General features: G+C 40.3%; 1 protein-coding gene across 6 annotated transcripts in view; it reads left to right on the plus strand.

Moving 5' to 3' along the window:
- LRRC8C (leucine rich repeat containing 8 VRAC subunit C) overlaps positions 1–14,385 on the plus strand; it is a 103,710-nt gene that overhangs the window by 60,773 nt on the left and 28,552 nt on the right. For 4 of the 6 annotated variants that reach the window (XM_011542282.3, NM_032270.5, XM_006710960.5 and 1 more), the window contains exon 2: positions 9,874–10,015. The exons of 1 other annotated variant lie outside the window; for it this stretch is intronic. In XM_011542282.3, coding sequence (XP_011540584.1) covers positions 9,878–10,015 — 138 coding nt within the window. In that variant the 5' untranslated portion in view covers positions 9,874–9,877. Of the gene's footprint in view, positions 1–9,873; positions 10,016–10,050; positions 12,368–14,385 lie in introns of those variants that run through there. One more of the 6 variants, XM_047432041.1, reaches the window with a different exon arrangement.

Here is a 14,385-nt window from a genome sequence, read left to right on the forward strand (position 1 = left end):
ATAAGCATGGATAAGTCGATTTTAGTGTAACCAATTTGTATTGAGGGCTGCTTCTAAGACACTGTGCTACTTTCTTGAAGATACAGAGATGAGATATAAATTCTATCCTTGGTAAAATAAAAATACTGTAACAACGTCTTTAAATGCACCATTGGCACAGGAAACAATAATCAACCCCATTTACAAAGGAGTTTCAATTCATATTTTTATAAGAATTTCTTCAATGAATATTCTCCCGTGAGTGTATATGTGGGTGAGGGATTCTCTCAGCACCTAGCACAGAGCCTGACATACAATTCCCTCTCATAATTTATAGTAAGCACATGAGTGAATGAAAGTGAATTATGCTTGTGAGAGGGAAAAAGCAGCTACTGATCATAGATTTTTAGTGAATTCAAAGGCCTGTGGCTACAATAATATAGGTAACTGTGGAAACTGTCATGTAAAGCAAAAGCCTTGAAATGTACAGCCTGAAGCACACACAATTAAAAGGATTTTTCTTTAAATATGTGAAGAGCATAATCAGAAACGAATAATATCGTCATTGTTTGAGAGAACTAAAATTGCTAGGTAGAAGTACTTTTGCCACACCCACCAACACCCTTAGAAAAATAGGTTAAGCTCAACTTGAAGACTTTCCAAATAATGTAATTGGTCCATTAATTGAACATACAATATCATGGAGATATCCAAGGAAAAGATGGAAGTATTCATTGGGTTGCAAGTTCCGCTTACCTCTTAAGATTCCTTTGAGTCAAAAGTTCTATCATTTTATGATGCTATGAGGACAGTATAGCTTAAGAATCATTTAAATGTGTTAATGTTCGTTTATTTTTTCTTTTATATTGTCAAATAAGAAACATGAAAAGAGAAATTTGAGTACAGGAAAAGTTCTATTTAAACTCTTTGTTTCTTAGCACAGTTTAACTTCTTTCAGTTACAGTCAGCATCATGTGGTATTAGCAAAGAGCTCTAGATGGAAAGAAAAAGATTTGGTTAAAAGTTATAGTTCACCATTAGCTGTGTTCCTTGGGCAAGTCACCTAATCTCTCTTGGCTCAGGATTTTCACCCATAAAGTAAGGGGTCTGGACTGGATGATCTCTTTGACCTTTTTCAGGTCCTAAAATTTTATAACCCATTTATGCTTTTCTCATTTAATTAAATACATTTCTACAGAACCATATAATTATGTTCTGCTTCAGTGGATTTTTCCAGAAATATTTTGTCATGAATGCCAAAACTGTACAATAAAACACAATCTACAGTCATGCTCTCCCAAGGGAGAAAGGTATAATTTTTATGTAATTGGGAAATTTTGCCTTTTTGCTCCTGCTTTTTATTTCCATCTTTTCACTGCCAAAAGAAAAGCAATTTGTTTTACAACTGATGTTTTCAGCATATTCTGATGACTTTTTGATTTGTGGAGACTTTGGGTACAACTGAAAAGAACTCATAAATTTAAAATCATGGCATTTCTGTTCGTTACCTCTTTTGCCCTTGTTCACACTGGCTTTAGCTATGCTAATGTCCTGGCCCTGTGTGTGGGATCTTCCTACCATGACAGTGTCAGACATATACTTTGCTTTTAGCTTCAGTAATAAAAATTGCAAAAGCAATTATATCCCACTTTCTTAACTAAAATTACTATGTATTCACCCATTTATTCATCAAACATTAGTTGAGTATCTAATACATGCCAGGCATTATTTTCTAGGTACTTGTAACACATCGATGAACACAATAGAACTGAAAAATTAAGTTCTGCCATCATGAAACTTGCATTCTTGTGGAAGTAGAGATGCAATACATCAAGAAACACAAGGCCGGGCATGGTGGCCCCTGCCTCTAATCCCAGTACTTTGGGAGGCCAAGGCCGGTGGATCACCTGAGGTCAGGAGTTCAAGACCAGCCTGACCATCATGGAGAAACCCCGTCTCTACTAAAAATACAAAATTAGCTGGGCATGGTGGTGCATACCTGTAATCCCAGCTACTCGGGAGACTGAGGCAGGAGAATCGCATGAACCTGGGAGGCAGATATTGCAGTGAGCCAAGATCGCGCCATTGCACTCCAGCCTGGGCAACAAGGGAGAAATTCTGTCTAAAAAAAAAAAAAAACGAAAGGAAGAAACACAATAAATGAGGGTTTTTTGACAGACTGCACGTGATTTTATGAGACAGGAGTCAAGGATGACTCCAAGATTTGTGGCCTAAGCAACTGGAAAGATAGACTTGCTATTTACTGAATAGGAAAGCTGTAAGTGGAGAAGGGTTTGCTGTGGGGATGGGGAATAGGGGACTGGGACAGGAGTAGGTTTTGGACAGGCCAAGTTTGATGTGTCTAGTGGATATCCAAGAGGAGATGTCGAGTACGTAGTGGGAACTCTGAGTCTGGATGGAGATATGAATTTGTGAAGCGTCAAGTATAGTTGGTATTGAAACATTGAGGCCAGATGCAATCACAAGGGGAGTGAATGCATTAGGGAAGACAAGAGGACCTAAGAGTAAGCATTGGGATGTTCCAAACAAGGGGGTCGGGGAGAAGAGGAGGAAACAACAAAGGAATAGCCAGGGAAGTAGAAGGAAAACCAAAAGGCTGTGGTGTCCTTTAAAAGCCAAGGGAGAAATGGTCAAATTACATGAAGTGCTGCTCATAAATAAGATGAGGAATGAAAGGCTAGGTGCAGTGGCTCATGCCTGTAATCCCAGCAGTTTGGGAGGCCAAGGTGGGTGGATCACTTGAGACTAGGAGTTTGAGACCAGCCTGGCCAACATGGTGAAACCCCTTCTCTACTTAAAATACAAAAATTAGCCGGGCGTGGTGGTACATACCTGTAGTCCCAGCTACCCAGGAGGCTGAGACATGAGAATCACTTGAACTCGGGAGGTGGAGATTACAGTGAGCCAAGATCACGCCACTGCACTCCAGCCAGGGTGACAGAGCCAGACCCTGTCTCCAAAAAAACAACAAAAGAAAAGATAAGGAATTAGAACTGACCATTGGATTTAACAACATAGATGAGCAATACACATGGGTTTCTTTTCTGTTGAATTCCTATTTCATGTGCTCAGGAACTATTAAATTGTTTTGTATTCGTTTTGATCAGGGCCATTCACTGGGTTACTGACAGGCTACCTACCATCATTTGAAATTGGTTCTTGTTTTCTTGAATGATATATGATTGTGCTAAAGGTGATACTATTTACCCACTGTCAGAAAAATGTGGAATAAAACAAATGTTAACTCTACCCACCTGATAGCCACAAAACAGTGTTAGCAATCGTGTTGGAATCACACTAGAATAAGTTTCATATTCTTTAGGTCATGGATTGATAAATAGAGCAGAATACATTCTGGGATATTAATTCTAGGCAAGAAACACAAAAATTATCCTGGGGAGGAGGATGGGAACATATTATTTTAGGAAGAGCCATATAAATAAAATAAACTCTATGTTTGTACCTAACTTTACCAATATTCTTTTTTTTTTTTTTGAGATGGAGTCTCGCTCTGTCACCCAGGCTGGATGGAATGCAGTGGCGCAATCTCAGCTCACTGCAAGCTCCACCTCCTGGGTTCACACCATTCTCCTGTCTCAGCCTCCCGAGTAGCTGGGACTACAGGTACTCACCACTACGCCCGGCTAATTTTTTGTATTTTTAGTAGAGACGGGGTTTCACCGTGTTAGCCAGGATGGTCTCGATCTCCTGACCTTGTGATCCGCCCACCTCGGCCTCCCAAAGTGCTGGGATTACAGGCGTGAGCCACCGTGCCCGGCCAACTTTACCAATATTCTTTACCAAAATATATATCTTTGAGAAGTAAAGTTATGTGGAATATGGATCTACTAAAATAGTTTTTTGTAATAGTTTTTTTTTTTTCTGGTCTGGAGATGGCCACAGGATATTTGAATTGGTAGTTGATAAGTGCCAGGTGTTTCATGCTTTCATGCTTTTTTTTTTTTTTTTTTTTTTCTGTTTTGAGATGGAGCCTCACTCTGTCTCCCAGGCTGGAGTGCAGTAGTATGATCCCAGCTCGCTGCAACCTCTGACTCCCGGGTTCAAGCAATTCTTCTGCCTCAGCCACATGAGTAGCTGTGATTATAGGTACACACCACCACATCTGGCTAAGTTTTGTATTTTTAGTAGAGATGGGATTTTACCATGTTGGCCAGGCTGGTCTTAAACCTCTGATCTCAAGTGATCCACCCACCTCGGCCTCCCAAAATGCTGGGATTACAGGCATGAGCCACTGCACCCAGCCTACAATAAGTATTTTAAATAAGGAAATGAATCTGAATGTCTGCAAAAGGTTACCGAAGCAGAGATGTAATAATTTTCATTTTTAAAATTAGGATACCAGAATCTCTTGATTTAATTAAAAATATTACACTTCCAAAGACATTACTAATAAGATAAATTAAAATCCTTTGTAGCAAGTTGAAAATCAAGGTTGGAGGAAATATAAAATAGAAAAATGTTTAACTAGAAATAAAATTATGCTGATTGATCTTTATCTCCCTATTTAAACCCAGTAGTTTATTCAGAAGTGGCTCCCTTAGCTTGAAATGATAACTCTTGAAATTGTCGCAAATCACTTAGAAATGACAGCAGCAATGAAAGAGCAATTGATCAAGTGTGGCTGTCACTTTTTCAGAGGAACTGAAAGTTGTGAAAGAGAAGTACAAAAAAAGTTTTCATTGAGCAAGCAAAAGGTCTATCTACCTTCTCTTTAGATTTGTAGTTTTTTATTCAAGTCTTCCCTTACTCACCTTTTTGCATCAAAAACATTAAGGATTAATGCTGTGTTAGATATTGGTTTGGGGCCTTGTAATATGTTAATTCAATAAAATCTGGTACATCTGTGTATTAGTCTGTCCTCACGCTGCTAATAAAGACATGCCTGAGACTGGGTCATTTATAAAGAAAAAGGTTTAATGGACTCACAGTTCCACATGGCCTCACAATCATGGTGGAAGGTGAAGGAGGGGCAAAGGCACATCTTACATGGTGGCAGGCAAGAGAGTGTGTGCAGGAGAACTGCCCTTTATAAAACCACCAGATCTCATGAGACATTCACTTTCATGAGAACAGCATGGGAAAAACCTGCCCCCATGATTTAATTACCTCCCACCAGGTCCCTCCGATGACACAGGGGGATTATGGGAGCTACAGTTCACATGAGATTTGTGTGGGGACACAGCCAAACCATATCAATCTGTATATATATTTATATGTAGGATACATGTACATATGTAGACATGTAGACATACATGCACATACGCATTTACTCAAAAAAATTTAAATGCGGCTGGGCACGCCTGTAATCCCAGCACTTTGGGAGGCCGAGGTGAGCAGATCACGAGGTCAGGAGATCGAGACCATCCTGGCTAACACGGTGAAACCTCATTTCTACTAAAAATACAAAAAATTAGCCAGGCGTGGTGGCAGGCGCCTGCAGTCCCAGCTGCTCAGGAGGCTGAGGCAGGAAAATGGCGTGAACCCGGGAGGCGGAGCTTGCAGTGAGCCGAGATCGCGCCATTGCACTCCAGCCTGGGCGACAGAGCGAGACTCTGTCTCAAAAAAAAGAATTTAAATGCAATAATAGTTGTGTTGTAGCACTAAACTTTGCCATCTTGACCAGCTGATTCCCTATCAAGTCTTATATTCTATCTTATCTAGACTGTGCCAATATTAAGAAGCAGTAGATAATACTTATATTTCTTAGATGCCTTAGTTTGACTTTATTTCCCATATTAAAAGCATGAGGTCTGTGAAGCAACTCAGACAAGGACCCAGAGAACCTCACCTGTTGTGAGTATTCAGGTCTTTGTTTTTTCAAAGGAAGACTTAGATAAAGGAACAGTGACCCTCTACCTCGGTTCTCAAAGTATGGTTCATGGAAGCCTGGCAACCTAGACCTTTTTAAGGGACCCCATGAAGTCAAAACTGTTTTGTAATGCTAAGATGTTTTTTGCCTATTTCACTGATGGTGCAAAAACCATGGTTAGTAAGGCACCTTCACATTACTCAAGATAGAGGCACTAGACTGTGCTGAAGGGATTGTGTTCTTCACTGGTACACACTTGAAATTAAAAAACCAGGTTCACTTGCTGTTCTTATTGAGGCAGTAAAAATTACTGTTTTAATAACTTTCAACCTTTGACTGCATGTTTTATTAATACACTATGTGATGAAATGGGAAGAATACACAAAGCACTTCTGCTGCATTCCAAAGTACAATGGTTGTCTGAAGAGAAAGCTCTTGTGTAATGGAGTTGAAAGTAGAATGAGCTACTTTATCACATCATACTACTTTTACTTGAATAAAACAACTGATTATTGAGACTTGAGTATGTGGCATATATATCCTCAAAATGAATGAAGTGATCCTGACACTTCAGGGAGAACAACTAAAGTATTTGTTGACAGCAATAAAATTCAAACTTTCAAGTGATAATTAGAATTTTGGAAAACTTGTGATCACCACCATGAGCTTGACAGCTTCCCAAGACTTAAACATTTTTCTGATGATAGCAGTGGTGATATTAATGAATGTGATTTTTAAATATTATTACTAAAATGTGTCTTAATATTTTATTAGGATGAAATGTGTCAACATTTGGAAGGTCTGGATAACTCAGTGATCCAATGTTTTCCAAATTACCAATGCATGATGTTACAAAATCATGCGTTACAAAATCATGCATATGTTACAAAATCATGCATGTGTAAAAAGATCCATTCAAAGTACAAGATAGACTAATTTTTTTTTTTTTTTAAGATGGAGTCTCGCTCTCCACCAGGCTGGAGTGCAGTGGTGCGATCTCGGCTCACTGCAACCTTCGCCTCCCAAGTTGAAGCGATTCTCCTGCCTCAGCCTCCCAAGTAGCTGGGATTACAAGTGCATGCCACCACGCCCAGCTAATTTTTGTATTTTTAGTAGAGTTGGGGTTTCACCATGTTGGCCAGGATGGTCTTGATCTCCTGACCTCATGATCCACCAACCTTGGCCTCTCAAAGTGCTGGGATTACAGGTGAGCCACTGAGCCTGGCCACTAATTAATTTTAATATAATGAAGTTTAAAAAGTTGTTTGATAGAGTTTCCAGTTTCCATATCACAACTAAGTTAGTCAAGGTTTAGTATAGTATCAAAAATAAATATCTACAATGATATAAAAAGGATACTCGTCCCTTTTCCAACCACATGTCTTTGTGAGGCCATGTTTGGTCCATACATTTCAGACAAAACAACATATCATATCACAATAGATTGAAATTTCAGGCAAAACAACATATTATATCATAATAGATTGCAGAAGCAGATATATCTTCTATTCAGCTGGCTTTTATATTAAGCCAGGCATTAAAGGGATTTGCAAAAATTTAGAACAATTTCATTGTTCTACTAATTTTGTTTTGGAAAATATGGTTATTTTTCATAATGATGTATCTTGATGGATGAGTTTACTTTTTAATAAATTATATATATATTACATTTATTGGTTTTTCACTTCTAGTATGGTAAATATGTATAGATGTAACCCATGTAAATACTTCAGGGTTCTCCTCATTGTTTTAGAGCATGAGGGGTTCCTGAGACCAAAAAGTTAGAGAGCCACTGCTCTATATTGGTGCATTTTATTTCTGAAATTGTTGCTCACTTTTATAAATAAGTCCAATTTCCTCTACGATGTAAAGAAACCTATGGAGGAGACAACAACCAAATCTATCAAGGAACAATAGACTATAACACAGGTTGTTTGCTAATTATCCCTGCCGCTGCAGCTGATTAGGATCACCCCAAATCTGAGTTGGATGAGCATTGCTTCACGAATAAGCATCAGAATTTATTCAACAGACAGTTGTTACGAGCTTCTTGTTTTTCAGGCAGTATGGCAAGTAATGGGGATGCAAAATAGAGTAAGACAGTACCTTCTGAAGTGGAACTTGGAAGTCAAGATGAATTTGTGCCATCTGTTATTGCCACTGAGACAACTGTGACTATCAAACATTTGGGGCAGTGGGACTGTAATAATTTACTGAGAAAAAAAGAGGCCATAAAGTGTCAGGAAAATCAAAGTTTGGACTAGTCTGAAATTTTAATCACACTAGAAATATACAAAGTAATGTATTGAGCTTTTGTGCAGTTTGCCTGCAATACATGTTTTAAGGAGACACATAGGCAGAACATGTAGATTCTACCCTGAAGAAACTTGTAGCCTAGTGGGTGGTAACAGAAAAAAGTTAAGAAAAGTTGTGTTTCAGTAAAATGAGGAAATTGTATTCTGCATAGATGTCAAGTAGGTAGGTCAGAGAGGAGAACATCGCCAGGCCGTTGAAATTTTCAACACTGTGTTAACAGATTCAAAAAGAAGACAAATTATTGTATAAGAAAGTCACAATGCAGCAAGACGGAATAGATAACATTGTAATTGTTGCCAAAGCTGTAATCAAAGAAGAGGCTTTGCTTTTATGTGGGATGTTTATTGTCTATCTAGTTCTTTTTTTTTTTTTTTTTTTTTTTTTGAGACGGAGTCTCACTCTGTCGCCCAGCAGGCCGGACTGCGGACTGCAGTGGCGCAATCTCGGCTCACTGCAAGCTCCGCTTCCCGGGTTCACGCCATTCTCCTGCCTCAGCCTCCCGAGTAGCTGGGACTACAGGCGCCCGCCACCGCGCCCGGCTAATTTTTTGTATTTTTAGTAGAGACGGGGTTTCACGTTAGCCAGGATGGTCTTGATCTCCTGACCTCATGATCCACCCGCCTCGGCCTCCCAAAGTGCTGGGATTACAGGCGTGAGCCACCGCGCCCGGCCATTGTCTATCTAGTTCTTAATTCAGTATTAGGGAAGGAAGGTGAAATGTTTTTGGCCCTCCTTGGCCACCCTTATTCCTTGCCATAAGATAAAGAAAGGATATTTCTTCTCACAGTAGGAGGATGATTGCCATAAGATACAGAAAGAATATTTCTCCTCACAGTAGCAGGATGATTAACCTCAAGTCCTGGGTCACACTAAAGGCAGTAAGAATGAGTAAGAAAGGAGGAGGCACATCAAGAAAAGAATGTACCTCTTTTTCCCTTTTCCCAGAGCCGTGGGTGCACCCTATTCATTTATCTTCTGTCATTTGGTTAAAGATAGGAGTTTCCAGACTGAACTGTTGTCTCAGCGGAGAAAATTAGGATAAGTTTGGGGTTCACAGTGAAATGTGAGAAGTACAGGAAACAGAGAAAAAAATCAAGATACAAGCATAGAGACAAAAAGGAAACAAGGAAGAAAAATTGAGGCCTCCTCAATCCACCACCATCAATAAGACCTTTCTTCTTAAAAGACAAGGACCACGTGGAAACACTGTTTTCCTTTCCCATGGAACAAGCAAAATGCTTTATAAATAGGGCTCAGTAAAGAATTAGCACAAAAGAATGCTAAAATTACACTTAAAAATGGTTTAAAGCAAAAAAAAAAAAAAAGCTTAAAGCAATAACCCAAGATGGTAAGATAAACAGCAAAAACATTTCAAAGGATGAGCTCTAGTCTTTCTGGCATCTTCATGTTCTGTTTAAGAGAAATGAGGGTCCAGGAAATAACTGGGACTTGGAAAGTGTCTGGCCATGTTCTTTCTGTCCCACCTGGAGCACAAAGGGAACCTTGTCATTGGACAAGAAAAGGCAAGTACTTGCCTTTTCCATGTGGGTCTCCTTATTTCCTCAACTGGTGATTTTATTCAGTGGCTCATCAAAACATTGATGTGTCTTGACAGCTCTTGAACTAATTCAGACCTCTGCTGTGAGGAGTTGGAGCCACATTTGGTAACAATGCAGTATGTTGTACTGGAAGATAAATTGATTTACAAGTAATCTCTCCTTTCTCAGAAACATGATTCCCGTGACAGAATTCCGGCAGTTCTCTGAGCAGCAGCCTGCCTTCCGAGTGCTGAAGCCATGGTGGGATGTGTTTACCGATTACCTCTCAGTAGCCATGCTCATGATCGGCGTGTTTGGATGTACTTTACAGGTAGGTGCCTAGATCCCTGGCAAAATGGGGGCCAGAGCAAAGCACAAGTCATTGAAACCTCTTTAGGGAGCTGGCTGTGTGATTTTTAACCATGTAAGTATTAGTCACTGTTCTCTGTGGATGTATTTGTAATCATAGCAGAGAACCTGAAACACCTATTTACTGGGATTTCCTAATACGGTAAATATGGTACTTGAAAGATTTCAATGAGCCCAAAGAGCAATTGACTGTAGTCAAGTAATGTCTGATGTCACTAACATCAAAGGGGGCCCCTTATCTTTCCAAATTGGCTTCACAGTGAAATGTAACATATGTCCAGCACCATTGATACTGCCAAAGTGGAACTTTTTGCTTTTATTCATCCTTTACCCTTACCCCTAATAAGATTTTCTGGAAGAACTAAAATTTTGATGAGATATCATTATTTTACTGAATGTTTAGTTCTGAATTTGAAAAGAACCCAATAAAAATTTATGTAGATGCCATGTATTTATGTATTGAATCCAGGTATTTTTTACATAGCTGCTATGTTCCAGGTACCATACTTTGAGGACATGGATACATATAAGTAGTTCATTTCTAGGGGAGAAATAAATAAACTAGCAATCAAAATAACTTGTGTTATACTTTGATAGAGGTGTCCATAAGGCACTAAGGGAATGCTGAAGAGAAACCCTCATTTTGGTTTGGGAATAAGAGAAAAGGTGATGGTTGAATTAAAACTTGGAGAACCAGCTAAAGTTAGTCAAGAACCTCTCCTTAGCTGAAAGTAAGAGGACACCAAGAGGAGAAAAGAAAGCTCTGAGTCATGGATGTGAGAAAGAACATGACATCTTTGGGAAACTGTCAGTAGAACTGGCACATATAGGGTGTTGATATAAGAGCTGAAGCCATGCTTGCAAATGGACTCATCCAGGGAGAATGTGATGAGGAAGATAGTGTCAGTAATAACATTAAAGAGTAAATGGAGAAGGAAGTGGGGCCCTTGAAGAAGACTGAGAAGGGGCAGCCATAAGGACAGATGAAAACCAGGAGAGAGGCATAGGTCAGAAGCCAAAGGAAGCCATGGACAATGATGGCAGCCAACACAACTAACTCATGGACTAAGAAGAGGAAAGTAGCAACTACGTCATTAGAAATCTTAGGTCAGTGGTTGGAAAACTGAATGGAAATCAACGTATTATAGAAGCTATGGGGTAGATGTGATTTTTCGGGTAGATCAGCTGGAAAAGAAGGTATAGGGAGAAAGAGAAATCACTAGAAGTGGTACAGAGCGAAAATAAAGTACTTTTAAAAGTTGGCCTTAAAAATAGTGAACACATACTGCTTCCTATGTGTCAGGAACTCTTTTGAACACTTTACATGTATTTTAACAAATGTCATCCTCATGACAACTCTTATATATAGGTTCTATTACTAGCCTCACTTACAAATGAGACACCTGAGGCACAGAGAGGTTAACGATCCTCCCAAGGTGAGTATTGAAGCCTTTATTCAATCCAGGTGATTTGGTTCCAAAGTTCCTGCTCTTAGTCCCTCACACCATGCTGTCTTTTATTTGGTCACTGAAAATATCTTTCCCCCTCCCCTCCAACAAAGGGTGCCAGTGAGAAGTTATTGTCTAAAAAAAGGGGCATAAATTCATTCATAAATGAAATAGTTGTTGAAGAACCTACTGCGTATCAGGCACTGTTCTACTAAGAATTATCAACGAAGGAGAAAAAAGACAAAAATCCCAGCTTTATGGACTTTAAATTCTATGGGAAAAATAAGCAAAATAAGCAAAATCAATTAGTAAATATGTTAGAAGATAAAGGCAATGGGAAAAAATAAAGCATGCCAAGATGGTAGAAGGTTCCTGCAGGTAAGATAGAAGCTGCAATCTTCAAATAGGATGGCCTGGGAAGGCCTCATTGGAAAGGTGACTTTTGGCCAAGGAATTAAAAGACGTCCAGGAGCAGGCCAGGCAGATGTCCTGGAAGGAGGCTTCCAGGCAGAGGGAACAGCAAGAGCAAGAGGCACATAGTGAAAGGAAGGCACAGGTCCCTTCCTTTTCTGCAGAAGAATTGGATTTTATGACTTTCTCAGTTTTCTAGTTTGGTTTCCCCGGAGACCTGATAAAGGTCAAATGTTAACTGTGTTACTAGGCAACATTATGGCATAAATGACTGCTGATTGGTCAACTGTTTCTGGGCTGGAAGAGTGATAAATGCCTGGTAGGAAGCTGTATCATTGGACTTCTGTGACTGTAGTGAAACTTGTGATTCAGCATGCTCCTTGACACATCAAAGATTGATCTATTGAGTTACTAGAGATATTGGTTCCTTTGAGGCACAAGGCTTTTAAGCCAGGGTAAGTTCTGAACCTACCTAAAGTAGATCACTTTCCTTGCACTGGAGATGATTTGGGGAGGAGAGGCTCAGGAGGACAGCAGTGTGGACGGCTACATGGACAGTTGTGAAGATTTTCCTAAAGGGGAAAGGCTGATGTTGCCTTGCTGGTGACTCTAATCTGTGTATTTCTGAAGTGATTCTGGTGCCAAATGAAGTTTATGATAATCTTATAAGTCTGCATGTTAAGGTGAACCTAGAAAGTCCCCTGGACATGTTACAGGCCTGAAGCAGAATTACCTCTGTAATGTTGAAGAAAAGCCATGAGGCCAGTGTGCCAGAAAAACGTGAGTGAGGGGAAGAACAGTAAAAGGTGAGGCCCGAGACACAGTGGGTGCCAGATCACGTAGGGCCTTCTAGGCCACTGGAGGGCTTGGCTTTGTTCTGAGTGAGTTAGAACATGTTTGAAGGATTTATGACCAGAAGATTAGCATAATTTATGTTTTAACAAGACCACTACAGCTGTTGAGAATATACTGTAGGGGGTGAGGATGGAAGTGAGGGTGGTATTTGGAAGGCTAGTGCAATAATCCAGGCAAGAAATGAATTAAATGGTTTGAGTAGGGTGAAAGCAGTTGTTCTGCATGTATTTTGAAGGAAAACCCACCAAGATTTGCTGAAAGATTAAATGTGAAATACAAGAGAAAAAGAGAAATCGGCCGGGCATGGTGGCTCACACCTGTAATCCCAACACTTTGGGAGACCGAGGTGGGTGGCTCACCTGGGGTCAGGAGTTCGAGACTAGCCTGGCCAACATGGTGAAACCCCATCTCTACTAACAATACAAAAATTAGCCGGGCATGTTGGCATGCACCTGTAATCCCAGCTACTCGGGAGGCTGGGGCAGGAGAATCGCCTGAACCCGGGAGGCAAAGGTTGCAGTGAGCCAAGATCGCACCATTGCACTGCAGCCTGGGTGACAAAGCAAGACTCCGTCTCAAAAAAAAAAAGAGAGAAATCAAGGATGACTAAGATTTTTAGACCTCAGCAACTAGAAAAGTTTGTTTGTAAACATGTTAGGTTTGTGATATATGTTAAACATCAACGTGGAGATATTAAGTAATCAGTTGGATGTAAAACCCAGGAGTTTGGGGTTAGTGATGGTCATTTTCAGGAGGAACGAGGTGAAGATCCAGGATCTAGGTGGAAGGATTATCCCTGATTTGGGTGGAGGAGGCATCATCCACCAGAATGGGAATGATAGCTACAGATACATTTTTATTTGGTAGGGAGACAGAAAGACAGGCGTCTGTGCCTTATGGCTTGTTGTTTCTCTGTGATGGAGAAAACAACATTTACTGAGAGGTTGTGAGGGTGAGGAATGCAGTAGGAATTGGCAATAAGGAAGGTAGTAGAGCAGGGGTCTCAAGGAGAAGGTTAGATTTGGGGTGGCTAGCTTGGGAAATAGTAGAGGAAGGTGACATAGATTAGCGGGAGCACTATCAACCTGTCTTTATTACTGTGCCATGGCTCAGAGCGCTGCTGCAGGATCTGCCTAACAAGCACACGGAATTGTTTCTCTTGTTTACACATTCCATGGCAGGATGAAAAGAGAAAGAACACAGAAAATCTTTTAGAATAAATAGTTAACTTGCAATGAAATGAATGAAAATAAGAGTGTACCTATGAAAATGTCTATAATGAGCATCATTTAGGAGATGTGCCTGCGGTAAGTTCAGGAGGGAATTCAAGCACAAGCTAAACCTCTTTTCCTGTGTGCTGGTCAGAATCATCTTCCTGCAGCACAGCCCCACAGTGTCTCTCTACAGTCCAGAAGGCTTTTGGGCTCCCCGCTGACCAGCCTTCTCAGCACCACCACTCTTACCTCGCACAATCAGTGGCTCCTGCTCAGACAGGTTAACTAACCTGGGCCCTTCACACATAGGCCTTTTTCATCTCTTCAGCCGTTAAAAAGAAATCTGATGCCAGTTGACTGGGTACAAGAAGTGTTGTCTGAGATGACAAGGTTCTGAGAAAAAG

Source organism: Homo sapiens, chromosome 1 (genome assembly GCF_000001405.40).
Source record: "Homo sapiens chromosome 1, GRCh38.p14 Primary Assembly".
Taxonomy (NCBI): domain Eukaryota; kingdom Metazoa; phylum Chordata; class Mammalia; order Primates; family Hominidae; genus Homo; species Homo sapiens.